Raw genomic sequence first — 17,098 nt, 5'->3', positions numbered from 1 at the left:
ACTTCAACCTGGGTGACAGAGGGAGAATCCATCTAAAAAAAAATTAATTTTTTAAAATTTGTGACAGGATCTCACTATGTTGCCCGAGCTGGAATGCAGCGGCTATTCACAGGCACAGTCAGTGTGTGCTGCAGCCTCAAACTTCTGGATGCCCTTCTCAGCCTTCCAAGTAGCTGGGTGCCATCATGCCATACTTTAATTTTCTTTAGTAGAAAGGAAATAGCTGTATATTCTGATGACAATTTGGAGCCTTTACATTTTATTTATTTACTGTCTTTCAATAAAATAAATATCACGTTTCAAAACTAAAGGTTTAAGATACTTTTTTTTAAATAAACATGATTAAGTTTGAATGCAAATGTTTTAAGAAAAATCAGACACTGAAAGTAAATTTTGACACTTCAAAGGAAATAGTAATTCAGAAAGCCTATTTGAAGTATTGCTCTTAGTTTTGTCTGCTCCAGTTTTGTCTGGAGCAACACCGCATACAATTGTGAAAATTAAATGAACCTGTGTAAAGTGCTTAGAATGGTATCTGGCACATACAAACTGTTATTTCTTTGTGAAAATTAAAATTCAATATAGCTTTTCTTTATAAATGAATGTTGCATAGATAAAAACAATCCTAAAAACAATCCTGAAAAAATTATTAAGATGGTATAGAAATCTATGATGGAACTTATAATGAATATTTGCCTATTTTCTGATCTATGGGGTTCAGGAAAAGTTCTCATTTAAGAGATTTTTACACAATAAGGTTGACTTTATATTCAAGGAAGTTCCTCCTCGCATCGGTTCTTAAAACACACAATTACAATAACAGAAGTTCTCTAAAACTACATTTTATTTTAAACGAATATTTATTTAAAAGCACATGCTTTCTGTTTTGTCTGCCTTCTTAATTCTAGCTACACACTGCTGCCCTCTGCTGCAATTTCAATCTTTCACACTCACAAACCCGACCTAGTTTCCATCTATACAGGTTATCTGACTCACTGCAAGGGTTATGTGTGTGTGTGTAGAGAACAAAAGGGAAGGCTCCTTGAAAAGAAAACTAGGAACTAAAGATGTTGGCACAGTTCAAAAGAGCCCATCTGAGAAGTGGGCCTTTTTTTTTTTTTTTGAGACGGAGTTTCACTCTTGCTGCCCAGGCTGGAGTGCAATGGCACGATCTCGGCTCACCGCAACCGCCGCCTCCAGGTTCAAGCGATTCTCCTGCCTCAGCCACCCGAGCAGCTGGGATTACAGGAATGCACCAACATGCTCGGCTTTTTGTTGTTGTTGTTGTTGTTGGTTTTTTTTTTTTGTATTTTTAGTAGAGACGGGGTTTCTCCACGTGGTCGAGCTGGTCTCGAACTCCTGACCTCAGGTGATCCGCGAGAAGTGGGCCTTTTTATGGATCCAGCAACAAACTCCCAACCTCCCAGGAAAGGTTGCTTCCTGTCATCTATATAAAACTTTGTGTCTCAGGCCTTTATTGCTTTTTTAATTGAAATAAATTATATATATATGGTTTAAAAAAAAAAGAAAAGGAAAAAGGGTAAACAGCAAAGAGGGTAATCAATAAAACATTTGGCTTCCACTCCAAACCTCTGAACAGTTTTGTGTATCCGTCCAGAAAGCGTATATATTATTACAAACATACACAAGGGGCATTTCTTTTTGAACACAAATGTGAGTATTCCTACCACTCTTTACCATTCTAGACTAACTTGGACGTTGTTCCCTATCAGGCGAGATTAACCCAACTAAATTAAAACCAAGTAGGTTTTAACAAAACAGATTTTAAAGAAATCAATCTTCTCTCCAATAGGTTATTTCTGTCACGATTTAATTAGCTTTCTGTTACTACTAAGGCTTGTATCATATAAAGTAGTGGTTCTCAGGCTGGGCGCGGTGGCTCACGCCTGTAATCCTAGCATTTTGGGATGCCGATGCAGGAGGATAGCTTGAGCCCAGGAGCTGGAGACCAGCCAGGGCAACGTAAAGAGAGCCCCCACCAACACCCCCCGCCACCCACCACCACCGCCCCGGAAAAGCAGTGGTTCTCAAACGTCAGCGGACATTGGTATCATCTGGTGAGCTTATTAAAACAAGAGTCTCTGGATTCAGGAGGTCTGGGGTGGGGCTTGAGAATTTGCATTTCCAATAAATTCCAAGCCGGAACTCCAGGAAGATAACCTGCATTCCGCGCCTGGCGAAGCCCAGCTACGCCATTTCCTTCCTAGGCCCCGCCTACTTCGTGTCCCTGACAGCCAGGGACTGGCTAGAGGGCGCGCGGAGTCACGTGAGTCGAGCGACCTCGCGCGAGAGTTTGTATTTCTCGCGAGACTTCACCGTCTCTGTCTTTTCCTCCTTCCAGTGCCCGGCGTTCCTCCCTTCCCCCTCGCCGCCGACCGAGTTCTTCCTTTTCAGACCGGGTCGCCTTGCTGTCGTCGCGGTGATTTTCCTGCTACTGCTACTGCTGCTGCTGCCACCGCCACTACCACTGGGCTCATTTGCCCCGACCCCTTCCCGCCGCCCCGCCCCCAGCCCCACACAAGGTAACAACCCCCCTGAGGGAGAGAGTAAGGCCTGGCCGGGCCCGGGTCCCTCCCGAGGTGAAGCGGAGGCCCAAGGCTGAGGAGCCCGCCTCGCCGGAGACGCCCAGGCGCTGGCCCTGGATCCCGGAGCCACGGCCGTCTCTCAGCCAGAGCTGAGCCTCGGCGGCCCGGCCGGCGCTGGCCTCCGTGCGGCGGCGGCAAACACGGCCCGCAGGGGACCGGGTCGGGTGGGGCTGGGCGCCGCGCGGCTCCCTGTGGAGCCTGCCTGTTGGAGCGCGGCGGGGCTCCGGCGGTGGTCTTGGAGCTGGCGTGTGGATTTCCACGTCCGAATGATCGAGTTGTGGCGGGCTTTGAGGTGCTGCGTGGCGGGGAGGAGAGCAGCCTGGGTCGCTGTAACTCTTAGGGGGCCTTTGCAGGCTCCCAGCCTTTGGTTGGACGGGAATTTTACGAAGGAGAAGGGTCCTCGGAAACGTGGTACATTTGCTTATAAACCATCAAAAAAGGTTAATTGGTATCTTATTTTCAGGAAAATGACTGAGCTGGATTTGGCGAAAGGCACATTCGTTAGAATGCCTAAATGGGAGAGTACCTGTGCTGTTCTTTTTGCTGAAGATAATGCACCGATAAATATTTAAGCGACTGGGCGAAAGATTTTTGTTTTGGAGAGGCACTTTTAAATACACTCTTAATTGAATAGTTCAAGTAAAGATCGTAGTTTGTGTAGTTAATTTAAAAACGCACTTGTTTGGCTTTGGAAGCATACTGTAGTGCTTAAAAATAAGTATTTGGATTGTTTTTGAAAGTTTCGACTTTTCCAACAGAGTAGTGCTTTTTAAAAAGATAACACTGATTATTGAGCCGAATTCAGCACCTACCCTGTGGATAGGAGTTAAAAGAAAATTAGAAATTTCTTTGTATCTGTATGCTTTTTTAAAGTATGGAATGTATCTCAAGTTTATAATCCTCAGAATCTGTTGCCTTTAAGTTTGTGGTTTAGCTGAAGTCTAAACTGAGAGTAAAGGTAATGGTGGTAAATTAAGCTGCAGTGTTAGAAGGAGTTAGAGGCAAAAACTGGTAATTCAGGCAGACAGGGGAGTTAGTTTTTTATGCCTTGATTTTTGGTTTAGTTTTCATGGTCTAACCCTTTTTATTTTCCCTAGATGTCAGAGGATTTAGCAAAGCAGCTGGCAAGCTACAAAGCTCAGCTCCAGCAAGTTGAAGCTGCATTATCTGGAAATGGAGAAAATGAAGATTTGCTAAAATTGAAGAAAGATTTACAAGTAAGTATGGGTAGACAATTGTACTTTTTCTCTGTTTTTCAAATTATTGCTTGAATCCCTAAGTACCCAAAGCGCCTTTTGAGGGGTTACACCCCACCCTATGTATATATGTAAATTCTGTAGGTACCATTGCTTGTAGAAGTAGGGTTGCTTCCCCAGTTCTCAGGTTTCTGTACATCAGAGTGAAATATTGTTCTTTGTTATATAAATCTTGTGTGCTTACATAATTTTTAAAAACTAAAGTTGATAGAAATTTCCAAGTCTGTCAGATTTTCAAGACGAGAGGTACATGTAACTTCACAATGAAAAACGCTTTTAGTTTTTAAGACCTGGCAAATGAAATTTAGTTCAAAAAGTAACAAAGATTGAAGGAGAAAAATAGAACCTTAAGATTCTTTTTAATACCACAAGATTCTTTGAAAATGCGTGCCTTTTTTTTTTCCCCAAAGCTAGTGGATTACATTTTGTATTGAAAACACACCACAAAAATGCCTAAAGAGAGACAAGTGCTTTGTATAATTGTTACATAGATGTTCAGACTTAAGGCTAGGTTTTACAGTAAAGTTGTTGACACTTGTGGAAATTGAACTATGTGGTGAAAAGGAGATCTTTGTCATGGTAGAGTTTAGTAGATAATGAAACCTTTTTTTGAAAACCTGCACTGGGATTTCAAGACAAACATAGAGCCATCATAGTAAATACCTTTTGTGTTTCAGGACACCAGACTGATTCAGAAAAATGCCATATATAATTTGCAAATATATATGACTTTTAAGAGCTTCCTTTAAATTCTGAACCTGATTTTTAAAAAGTTTCAAGGGTGTTTTGATTAGAGATTGCTTTACCGACTGAGTACTAAACTCAAATCTGTATCCTGTCTAAAAATTCATTCCCTCCCTTTATTATCCCACTGCCCGTTAAAACTATTACTATTTTAGGGATATCAGAACTGCAAACAAACTTAACGGAAATAGGGTCCGGATTTGGGATTCTGGAACTGCTTATCTGGGCGTAATTAAGATGAGTTGAATACTTTCAAGTTCTACATTTAGAATAAAATTGCAGTAGTATGTTATTTTTAAACACACACAAACTATCTGGGTTAATTTCAATATGAACAAGACCCCTCTTCGATACGTAGAAGCCAGGCCTGTGGGCTTCAGGGTGCCAGTCAATACAAAAAAGATGTTTTGGGAGCAGTTTCTCCCACTCCCAGGCCCTTAAGTGAGAAATAACCCAGTGGTTTGCCACCTGTCCATTTGATTTGCTCATATGTTGTGAGTATACATTGAAGATGAGGCAACAGAGGCACACCGACCTCTTATTTTCTTACACTCTGTAAAGTGCTTTCTGTTTGCCCCAAAGAGAGATGCCTTGACTACCTTTACCAACTTAAGCAGTCCTTTTTTAGGAAAAGAAAACACTGGGTGCCAATGTTTTGTATATTGCTTCTTGGGCAGTGGGAGGAGGGGTATTTGTTGAACTGGTTGGGTTGGGGAAGTTGGGAGTGGAGTTAGAAATAGCATTATCATCAGGTCTTTTTAATATTTCTAGAATAATTCCTCATTAGAGTCTGAGCAGAACTGCCTTACCATGTCATGATCATCATAGTGGAAAGTACTGTAGGGGGAAACCATTGTGATAAACACTGTAGTAAGCCCCTAAAAGGCTTGCTTGCAGGGGTTCAGTTAATAATGACCTGGAAATCATTTTTCTGTAAAGTATCCTCTTTTCTATAACCATTTAAAACAGCACTGTCCAGTAGAACTTTCTGTGATGATGGAAATGTTCTATATCTGCTATTCAGTACCATAGCCACTAGCCACATTTGGTTGGATATTTGAAATACAGCTAGGTTTACTTAGGAGCTGAGTTTTTAGTATAACTTAATTAGCCACACGTGACTACCATACTGGATGGCAAGGATTTAGAAGTGCAAGTTTTAATACTTCAGATAGTAATAACAGAATGTTTTTCCTGACCAGTCTTGATCAGAGTTTCTTCCCATTTTATTCTATCATTAGAAATTTCATTTTGGTCCCTAGATAAGGTCTATTTTGAATTGAAAACTACTCAAAAACGGAAACCATCTTTTAAGATGAGGTAATACTCTGAAAAGTATTTGGCTATAAGCTTCCACTCAGTAATTGTTGTCTCCATTGAGACTACACTTAACAGCTTCTATTTTGCTGTGGGGTTCCCCCCCTCATTCCCCTCCTTTTTCCTTCTCTGCCTTCTGGGATGTATCTCATGCTATGGGTATTTAATTCAGCTTGTTATATTTGGTGAAAAGTCTGTTCAGACTGATTTTGTGGCTTCCTCATATTAATATTTTTTGACCATCATATGGTTTCTAATTTCTTGTGTTCCTCTATAGAATTAGATCCTTATCCCAGTTATTAATTTGTTTGCCCTTTGTTTTATGACAAAATGCTTTTTTTGCATCTTTTCAATGACTTCATTTTGCCAGTAAGGTTTCCATGTTTATCTCTTTCATGTACTGTCTTTCATAGAGACTAAAGTTATTCAGCAGGCAGCAAAATAATCTACTAAAGTCCTGCCTTTCTTTTTTCACTTAAAAAAGTGGGTGTGATAAAATCCAGGCTAGCTAGCTGACTAGCTCCCCGGGCAGTCTATGATAATCAGAGATAGTCAATTTATTAGGCTGTTTTGCTGAATAAGCTGGTTCTAAAGGAGGCAGGGGTCAAGTCACTTGTCTCATATATTACAGTGGCTCTCTGCATCCCCGAAACGCCTTCCTTCAGTAAGCAGAGTGCTTGAGTGCACCCCATTTGACCTGCTGATATGTAGATCACAACACCTGATGCTTCCTGGAATTGCCGATTACTGTAACTGCTGCCCATCTGTCGATGAAGGAGCAGTTTCAGAACTCAGACTTGAGGGAGGAAAAGTAATTAATGGTATGTACCTTCAAGAACCCCCTCATACATAAAATAGTTTTTCTAATACTTTGGTCCATACGCACATGTGAAGAATAGAAATTTAGAAGGTTCTTCATAGTTTGTTGGGAGGGTTATGTAAAACCATGGCAAAGTTAAAGGACATTAGGAGTAAATGCTCTGGATTTTTTCTAAAAAAGGGTCATTTCAGCACAGGCCTCTGAATTCACTAATATGCACAGCTTTTCAGGACCCTTTTCTTTGATGAAATATATTTCTTTAACAAAATATATTTGGAAAACAGTTCTGTCCTAAAAGAAATAGAGTTCTAAATCTGAAACCTACAAGTGCAGAATTCATGTCTGTGCTTAAGTTAAATGATCCCTAGGTGGATCTGGAAGTATTTAATGATAGAGATTTGTGTGGGCTCTTGAGTCAGGCTGACTGGATTACATTCCTACCCCTAAAAGTGGTTAAAAATAAGACCAGATAATTTACTCTTCTGTTGTGTACTACTTGATCTAGTTATTTGGAAGGTTCTTTGCTTTGTTTGCAAAGGACTGTCTAATTAAAAAGATCTAATTAATGGCTAGTTGGCAACTAATAAAACTTAGAGATATTATTCCTACTAAATTTTTAAATCAAACCTAAGTGTTCTATTTATTTATTTATAAAACTAACCTTTCTTCAAGAGATTTAAGACTCAAATATTAGTTTTTTCAGAAATAGCCAGGAAGATTTAGAATCTTTAGGAGAGAGGTAATATTTAACTTTCTTGGCTACTGGAATCAAAATTACTATTATGAAACCTCAGTGGGAACTAGAAGAAACTCAGTACATAGTTTAACTTTGTTAATTTTTCTCCCCAAACACACAGTATGATGTTTTAAATGCAACAATGGGTGAACAGCTATGCAAGTTCTTAGATCAGATAAGATGCATAGTGTGGATCTTCATTAGAGTAACAATATAGTAGACAGGTAGCAGAATCTGTCGGCTTGTACTGTTCTCAATTTTTTAGCCATCCCTACACCAAACATCTTTGAATGAAGCCAATAAATGTAAGCCTGAATTAGAAAAAAATATTTGCCACACAGAAAGGCATTGCCTTTGTGTGTTACCTTTTTTTCCCCCTTTTAAATGAAGCTGTGCTAATGTGCTTAACATTAAGGTATGGAACATTTAAAATCTAACCTGGTAATTTGCTTACCCAGATGGGGTGAGTTTTACAATAATTGAATAGGAAGACCACTGGTTTCTTTTACATTGCCTGTAGTATTTTAGTCGAGATATGTATAAGTAGGAACATTTTTGTTACTAATAAAGCTGCTTAAAGTGTTTTGGGATTGCTTGGCAGTTAATACTGCTGAGTAATGCCCTATAAAACAGTACAGTTGCATAAAATATGTTACAATAAGAGTATCTAATTCAGTGCCTCATACTTGACTTTCTCATCTTTAGAGAGATCTATTCAGCTAAAATAGGCACTTAGAAATAATGCATGGTATAAGCTCAAGTCTTATATTTTCATTAGTATTTGTGGTTAAGTTGAAAGGCAACTATATGGGCTTAAGTCACAGCTCTGCCACTTAACTGGTAGACAATACTGTATCAGTTTCTACATGGGGATAATCACAGTACTTGCTTAATAGTGTTATGAGCTGCAAATGAAATATATGTAGAGTACTTAACGTACAGTATGAAGGCTGTCATCAGAAACTAAGTTGACAATGAGAATTATAAAAATAATGTTGTAGTTTTTGTTTTTCTTTTTTAGGAAGTTATAGAACTAACCAAAGACCTTCTGTCAACTCAACCTTCTGAGACGCTTGCAAGTTCAGACAGTTTTGCTTCTACTCAACCTACTCATTCATGGAAAGTAGGAGACAAGTGTATGGCAGTCTGGAGTGAAGATGGACAGTAAGTGTAGAAAAAAAAACTCTAACTATAACATGAAATAATAAAATACAATGGTAAGAAGTTTTTATTCAGTTTTAACTACCCTATTTTAATCTTGACTTCTATTAGGCAGTATGATTTATAGAGCCAATTTGATTCTTGGGTGGTTGCCATTAATACAGTTTAGTTTTAGCTTTAGATTAAGTTTTGGGGAGAAGAATGGCTGGGATTCTGGAGGAAAGAAAAACAGGACAATGAATGGGTGTTTTCTAAAATAATCTAAATTATTTTCTCTAATTGAAAATTGAGTGAATGGTTGGTTTTTCTGAGAATTCTGTGAAGAGCATACACTGACATCATTCCTATAAGAAATATCTTTTCGCTGGGTGTGGTGGCTCATGCCTGTAATCTCAGCACTTTGGGAGGCTGAGGCAGGCAGATCGCTTGAGGTCAGGAGTTGGAGAGCAGCCTGACCAACATGGTGAAACCCCATCTCTACTAAAAATACAAAAATCAGTTAGGTGTGGTGGCGTGTGCCTGTAATCCCAGCTACTTGGGAGACTGAGGCATGAGAATTGTTTGAACCTGGGAGGCGGAGGTTGAAGTGAGCTGAGATTGCACTACTGCACTCCAGCCTGGGCGACAGTGAGACTCTGTCGCAAAAAAGAGAAAAAAAGAAACCTCTATTCTCAAAGACATTAAATCACGTTGAGTAGGTACATGTAAGAGACTTGCCCAGCAATATTATGATTGGGATGTCCTTTTTTGATAGCAGATAACTAACTTCAACCACTCTTTTGTATTCTCTTTGCTGAAACAACCATTTGATTATAGAAGTTTCATTATAGACACATGTAATAATTTTATCACTACAGTATAAGTCTTGTAGGCTGAGTACTAAACCTTTACTCACCTGCTTACAGCCATGATATCTTTACAGGTGTTATGAAGCGGAGATTGAGGAGATAGATGAAGAAAATGGCACCGCTGCAATCACCTTTGCTGGTTATGGCAATGCTGAAGTGACTCCACTGTTGAACCTCAAGCCTGTAGAAGAAGGAAGGAAGGCAAAGGAGGACAGTGGCAACAAACCCATGTCAAAGTAAGTGACTTTGACTTTTCCATTTTAGGTGCAATCTTCCCCATTTGGATACTTGAAGTAGTCTGCAGAGAGAATCTATGCATAAGAAAGTTGTAATACTGTTTTACCGTTGTTTTGAAGATTAGCAACAAAGGGTCAACATTGTCTGTGTAAGTGTGCCTAAGTAAAGTGAAGATAATTTTGATTCCCATTTAGGCATTCAGTAAATATTAAGAAGATAACTATGTACAATGAACATCTTCCCAGCATATTTTATAAGCCAGGTACTGGGGCTATACCACAGGAGACCACCTCAGGCCTTGTCCCAACTGAGTTTATATTTAGAGAAGAAAACTCATCATTAATGAAGTGCTTTAATAGTACAGTGTAAACATTACAAAGGAGCTATAACAGGTACTGTAAGGGAACAAGAGGTACTCAGCCTCCACTTTTATTATTAGGGCAGATTTCTTTGAGAAAATGACATCTAAACTGAGATTTGAAAAGAGTAAGAGCCAAGTACAAAGCTACAAGGCGGTATGATGTTGATCTGGGCTTGAATTCTTTGTTATTAATGAGCATTATGACCTTGGAGAAGCTGTTTAACTCTGTTTCCTCATCTGTAAGATAGGGGCAGTACATTATTGGGTTGTGAGGATTCAAACGATAAGTGTTAGTAAAGCTTGTAACAGTTCTTTACATGTAGTAAGAGCTTAGTAAATTTTTTTTAAAGGGGGGAGGTGAGCACGTACAAGTAACAAATCCCTGTGGTAAAAACTTGGGGCCTGGAAGGTGGGTGGTCTGAGAAGAGATTAGAGAGGTAAAGTCCAGAACATAAAGAGCTTGTAAGCCACCGATAACATTTTAAGTAGAGGGGATATGATGTGATCACATTTGAGCTTTAGAATGATCACTGTCAGTAGGGAGAGGCAACTACTGCTGTGATCCAGGTATAAGATGATGGCCTGAACCCAGGGAGTTGCAATGGGAATGGGGAACTATGCAGTTTTGAAAAGTAAGAGGCAGAATTAACAATATTTTGGTGAACTTCTGCATATTTGCCACAACTTAGTCTTTTGATTTGTCAAGAGTTTTTGAAACTTAAGTTGCTACATATTTATATTTGAATATGCAAAAATTATATATTAATGTAAGCATTCCAATAAAATAAAATTCTAGAACAATGTATATATATATTTTTTAATGTCTTTGTCATCTGTGTAAAAAGCCATAGCTTCATGGTGGTAATATGGTACCGGGGAGTCTAGATATTGCCCCTCTTAAGGATCTTTCTTTTCATCCTTTTGGTGAGAAGTCAGTGTTAACTGAGCAGAAATTATTGGGGGTTTTAGGCTCTGATCCTATTTAGAATCTTATTTAGAATGTTTTTGAAACCCCCAGGTGTTTTGTTTTGGTGAGAATTATTAGCTATGATTTCCATTTGTGCTGCTGCATTCTTCCAATGTAGGTAAAATATTTTATCTGCATCGAATCTCTTCATACATTTTTTTCTAAATGCTGCACTTGTTAACTATGTCTATTTGGAAGTAGTTGAAGGCTTAGATACCCATTAATACTGAAACTCAACTTATTCCTAAAACAACTGGTAACAGCTATACAAAAGTAAAATAGAAAGTCATAATTAAGGCTGGGCGCAGTGGCTCAAGCCTGTAATCCCAACACTTTGGGAGGCCAAGGCAGGCAGATCACTTGAGGCCAGGAGTTAAAGACCATTCTGGCCAACATGGTGAAACCCTATCTCTACTAAAAATATAAAAGTTAGCTGGGCATGGTGGCATGTGCCTGTAGTCCCAGCTACTTGGGAGGGTGAGGCACAAGAATCTCTTGAACCCAGGAGGTGGAGGTTGCTGTGAGCCAAGATTGTGCCACTGTACTCCAACTCCAGTCTGGGCAACAGAACAAGACTTTGTCGCCAAAAAAAAAAAAAAGGCATAGTTGAAATATTTACCTTATATGGGTAAATAGATTACAGTTATGTTTGAAAGCTTCCAAGGATGCCATTTTTTAAAAAAACATTTCTTAGTAATTCTGGGTGATTGGTACTGATTTTAATGATTTAGTACTTTTTATTCATAGACCATTGTATATGTTTATTAGATTTTTTTTTTGCACTGCCGGTGTCTTCAAGGAAGTCATTCTTGTATGATAAGTCTTAACAGTTGACATTTAACTTTTTTTCATGCAGAAAAGAAATGATTGCCCAGCAGCGTGAATATAAAAAGAAGAAAGCTTTGAAAAAAGCTCAGAGAATAAAAGAACTTGAGCAGGAAAGAGAGGACCAGAAAGTGAAATGGCAACAATTCAACAACAGAGCCTATTCTAAAAACAAAAAAGGCCAGGTTGGTAAATCTTTTTACACTTTGTAAATTTGAGAAATGCAACTGTCATTAAAATAACTTTAAAATGAAAAGAGATGGAGATTTTTTGTAAAGTATGATTAACTCAGATTTTGTATTCCGAATCCTTGTTGATGCTCAATTTAACTTATTGAAAAATGTTAGCCATTGTCTCTGCAATAAAAATATTACAAATGAGAGAATTTATATCAGAAATTACAAAAGGTCTATGTTCTTTTCCTTCTATAAACTAATATTTGAAAAAATAGTTGCTACTTAGAGGCAGTGTGCTTAACTCTATCTGCTTTGTTAACATGCCTTCATGCTGGGCATCACTGGTAGATTTTATTTAAAAGTGCATTCAGTTTCCCTTGATACACTTACCTTGTGTGTGTTGGGTAGAAAATAACTGTAGCATTCATATAGGAAGTTGAGAATAAGGATAACCTGACTTTCACCCATGTGTTACTCTTCACTGCCATCAAGGTAGCCCTTCCATTGATGGACATGGCTTCTGGAAAGAAGCGCTTCCTTTTCATAAAGATGTTTATTTTGTGACAAAGGCCAAGGGACTTCACAATTTGGCTATCATAACAGGCCCCACAGTAAACCACAATACAGCCAGAGCTTTAATCATGCTAGAATGGCTAGCTCACAGCTGAAGTTAGGATTTGCGTTTACAAAACTAAAATTTTGACGTATCAGAAGGCAAGTGTTATGAGTATTAGTAAATGTAATGATATTTTCCACAACTTAGAAGTTACAGTAAATGGCTTCCAGCATGGGACCACTTCTGTACCCATTTTTTAACACTAAACAAAGGCAATATGTTTTTCTTCTTTTAAACGTTGAAACCAGAATATATTTTAACATTACTTAAAATTTGAAATTTTTTATTTTTTCCAACACTAATCAGGAATGATTTCTGTTTTCTTTCCCTTAGGTAAAGAGGAGTATTTTTGCTTCACCTGAGAGTGTGACTGGTAAAGTTGGAGTAGGAACCTGTGGAATTGCTGATAAACCTATGACACAATATCAAGATACCTCTAAATACAATGTCAGGCATTTGATGCCTCAATAATCAGAAAAACTGTTGGATTTCATCTCTGCAGGGCTTTACATTTACCTTTTTATCCTTATATTTTTCTAAAGGTAAATTATTTGTTAGATGAGTAAGCAAGATACCATTGTCGTCATTGGTTGGCTTCAGTAGAATGAAACGTGAAGAAATTGCATTTGATAACTGCTATTCATTTAACTTTTCTCATTATCAGTACCACGGTTCCCTCAAAGTTTGTTGAATAAAGCAACTTTTGTAGATGCTGTTTCATACAGCACTTAGATGAATTATTGATCTTCCTAATATCAGGCGCCTACTTAACCTATGGTGTGTACTTTTTGTAAGTTGTAACTTGAAATTTTCAGATGCTTTGAACTTGACACATACTCTAGCAATTCATTGGAACACCAAGGCAAAAACACCAACCTGCTAAAAGAGATCTTTTCATTTTTCTTATTTTCAGCTTTAAAACTTAGCTGTCGTTCAGTTAAGCTTAAAGATAGGTTAATTTGTAAATGGCAAAGTTTGTTTTGAGGTTTTTCCTCAATAACTTGTTTCCCAGGCCTATTAGGCCATCTCTAAAATTGATCTAGCTGTTTTATTTTTATGTACTCTTAGTTTTATGTAAGAAACCTTAGGATGAGCTCCCTTTTCTAAGGTGTTTTTGTTTTTTGTATGTTTGCTTTTTTCCTGTTTTTTGTTTTTTCCATTTACGGCAGTGGTACCATGTTTTGGATGTGTGATGTTTATATGGGAGAACAAAAAGCTGATGTATAGCCCTGTATACAGTGTAGATACTATTTTTGTAAAAACACAAGGCTAAATTAATGAACAAGAATACTGAATATTTCATCATTAAAAATTTCTTGTATTTCTTGTGCATTAATCTGACGATAATTTCCCTGTATATTATGTTCATTTAGCTGTTTGTAATTTTTGTTAATTAGATCAGGTTGTCTGCATTTGTTGGTGTAAGTGAACATCATCACAGTTATCCTGAGTTGAGTTTAAGCCAAATACATGCATAGAAAAGGGTCTTCCTATTAATGGAAGAAGGTAATTTTTAGGATGTGTATTATTTCAGTTTTGTATGTTTAACTTTTATTAAATAAAGTGTTTTTAAAATCTCCAGGGTGTGTTAACAAAAGGGTAAAGTCTTTAGCTGTCAGCACTTAAAGCAATTAAACCTCCAAGTACTTGCACACGGCATTCATGCAAGAGAATACTGAGTGTGTGAGAGGTTTCAGTAAATGCTTAAGTATTCCTTCCATTAGAAGAAATTGGATCTTAAAGGGCAAACCAGGCCTGTGTTTATAGGATGTCCTCATTTTAATGGGTGTTTGTAGATTTTTGGTGGAAGGGGAAAATAAGTTTTTATTTCATGAATTTTAATTTTTTTTATAAATTGAAACTTAGGACAGTGGTAGGTAGAATTCTTCATCTCTCCCTTCCACACCCACCCCTCTCAACCCAGGAGGGTCACTTTTTCTTCATATAATTCGTGGCCACAGGGTAGGACACAAAGGACAGAAAGGCACAAACTGCAGTAGAAAAAGGGTTTGTTGAAGCCTGTAAACTTCTAAATAAAATATACTTTGTTATTGTAACATCTTAAGAGCTTATCAATAATCAAGAGTAGCCTTGATGGATTGCAAGAGAATCCTTTGAATTAAAAAGCACTGGGAAGAAATTTGGTGTCATTGTGTGACCCCAGAAAATGGTTGTTGAGATTACCTTGGTGGTATTAGAATAGTAATTCACTTGATGTTTGTGTAGGCAGGACTGTTAACAGTCTTGTCCCTCTTTTGACCCTGGGGGGCCTTAGTTTTCCCAGAGGACTTTGCAGTAGGAGAGAGAAAAAGAATAAAAGTGACCTTAAAAAAAAATGTTTTGAAAATAGACCTTTAGAATGAAATCAGCAACCTTTGTGTCAAAGATCTAGATGTGGCCCTTTGGAAAATCCTAGTGTCAGGATGATGTTTGTGTCTCTGAACTAAGAGGCAGGACTCCTGGGGAGACTACCTGTCACAGTGTGATACTGAATTTGAGAAGATGCTCAATGAGAAGCATGATACCCACAGTATTTTACAGTTGAAGGTGGTTAAGCTCTCTATATTCTGAAACAAAATATAAACCTTGACCTTAAAAAGCTTTGTTAGAAAATTTAATGTAGAGTTTTCCCCATTAAGAAAGGAGACTTGAAGCTTTGAAACTGTGACAGACTGAAATGTTAAATATTGAGTTATGGGCCCCTAAGTAGAAATGGTTGCATGTAACTTACCAAAGCTTGACGTTTGACTGTTGTTACCATTTCAAGGAAAGAACAGTCCTAACCTCCCGAAAATAAAATGTTGAGTTTTAGTGGTAATCACAGGTAACAAGTGCTATTTTAATTAACATGTAGGGAGGCCACAGAGCATACTGGAAAACAGCAAGGACTCTAGAGCCAGACTAGTGTTTGTTTATTACCATTTATTACCTGTGTATTCCCATTTATTACCTGTGTATTCCTCTGATTCATTTTTCTCAGCTGTAGAATGGAAAAATCTGTTTCAGTTTTAAGGATTGAATTCAAATGTGTAAATAGCTTAAGAGTATCCGGCATAAGCACTATAGAAGCGTCTGCTATTACTCTGCAGAGTGGCAGTGGTGAATTATCTGATATTTTTTCCTTAACTTGAATAGCAATCCACATTACAATGGATAACAATACCCATTGTTTATGATTTGAGGCATCCAATTATAACTGTATTATTGAAGTGTTATCAAATTACCAAGGCTGTAGGGTATATTTAGTATTCCTAGTTAAAGGTTTGAACTAATTTGTATACTAGGGCATGTTTCTTAATGGGAAGGGGGTGAAGGTTATAATAAAAGTCACCCCTAATGCTTGTTTAAAATTAAAGAGGAATTTGTGGGCCTGGGACCAACCTTAGACTTATCCAGGCCAAGGTATGTTGTTTGACGAACACCGCAGGTGATCCTGATGTGCATCCCCGTCTGAGAACTGTTAACTATAAAAGTTTGACTTTGGAAATGAAGAAAAATTACCTTTTAGCCTAATCATGAAGACTAGGCGTCAAACCAAAACAAGATGCATCAGTTACTGTAGCAACACATTTTTTTTAAAAAATTGCTTGTTGTCACAATGAAGGGTGTGTGTCTGTTTCCAGTATGCAATTCTAATGCCAAATGTCTGCCTTAAAAATAGCAAAGGAGACCATCAGGTTAACATAAAGGAAAACTGTAGTTGTGTGACTCATGTGTCTGTAGATTGTAATTTTATAATTACAATTTTTATAAGATAAAAAACTACCAGTTGTAAATTCAACCAAAAAAAATTTAAAGCTTTGATTTAGCTTTTTGCTTTAACTTGGGTAGTAACTGAAATATAAAGGAAGAAAATCTATTAAAACCAATGAGGTTTTATATTTTTTTAAATCTTGATTCAATAAATATCAGCTGAATTAAGTATCTGTATGGTACTACGAAGCAATCAATTAGTATAAATGGCAATTTACAAGTTCAACAGTAAATGTAAACATTCTTTGTATCTAGGATTTTTGAGTTGCAAGTTAAACTGAATTTTTACTGCAGTAGAGAGGAGGAGCATAGCAGGCAAAATAACAGGTAATACTGTATTTTAAACAAACAGAAAAACCCAAGTAATTGGCGCCCTTTATCCAATCATCTTTTAAAAGGCCTATGTATGTGTATAGTTATGTTCTTAAGAAACATCTTAAGAGGTTCAGAAATCAATTTTATAGATGGAACATTTTAATAATTCGTTTTGGCCTAGCCAAAAGAGTAAAATAAAACAAAATAGTGTTAGATTTCTGTGAGGTGTTTTAATTGCCTTTTCTGCCTTTTAACTTATGTATATAAAGGTGGTTCTTTTGTGGCCTTGATTGGGGTAAAGCAGAACTGAGAATAATAGGGGTTTGTAGTAGTTGACAGCTGAACTAGCTAAAAATACGA

General features: G+C 37.6%; 1 protein-coding gene across 2 annotated transcripts, besides 1 other annotated feature; it reads left to right on the top strand.

The window, feature by feature from the left end:
• Positions 2,371-16,561, top strand: SMNDC1 (survival motor neuron domain containing 1). Of its 2 annotated transcripts, none has more exons than NM_005871.4 (6): positions 2,371-2,543; positions 3,704-3,823; positions 8,501-8,643; positions 9,563-9,724; positions 11,910-12,063; positions 13,004-16,561. In NM_005871.4, exons 2-6 carry the CDS (start codon positions 3,704-3,706, stop codon positions 13,139-13,141), a joined length of 717 nt encoding a protein of 238 aa, NP_005862.1. In that variant the 5' UTR covers positions 2,371-2,543; the 3' UTR covers positions 13,142-16,561. The 2 variants fall into 2 exon arrangements, with proteins under 2 accessions (NP_005862.1, XP_047280394.1); XM_047424438.1 differs by lacking the exon at positions 2,371-2,543 and adding an exon at positions 6,555-6,744 and having other exon boundaries at positions 3,720-3,823.
• Positions 2,540-2,859: a silencer, noted in NCBI's record as "silent region_2813". NCBI's record gives its function as "represses an Ori minimal core promoter by ATAC-STARR-seq in GM12878 lymphoblastoid cells {active_cell/tissue: GM12878}" and the evidence as "EXISTENCE:reporter gene assay evidence [ECO:0000049][PMID:35858748]".
• Positions 16,562-17,098: the final 537 nt, after the last annotated feature.

This window comes from Homo sapiens, chromosome 10 (assembly GCF_000001405.40).
Source record: "Homo sapiens chromosome 10, GRCh38.p14 Primary Assembly".
Lineage (NCBI taxonomy): Eukaryota > Metazoa > Chordata > Mammalia > Primates > Hominidae > Homo > Homo sapiens.
Note: the sequence above shows the minus strand (reverse complement) of the source record. Positions and strands in the feature narration are given on the sequence as shown.

Coding starts and splice junctions, on each gene's coding strand:
- SMNDC1 (NM_005871.4), top strand. CDS start 3,704: ATGTCAGAGGATTTAGCAAAGCAGCTGGCAAGCTACAAAGCTCAGCTC. Junction 3,824..8,500: donor AATTGAAGAAAGATTTACAA/GTAAGTATGGGT, acceptor TTTCTTTTTTAG/GAAGTTATAGAACTAACCAA. Junction 8,644..9,562: donor GTCTGGAGTGAAGATGGACA/GTAAGTGTAGAA, acceptor ATATCTTTACAG/GTGTTATGAAGCGGAGATTG.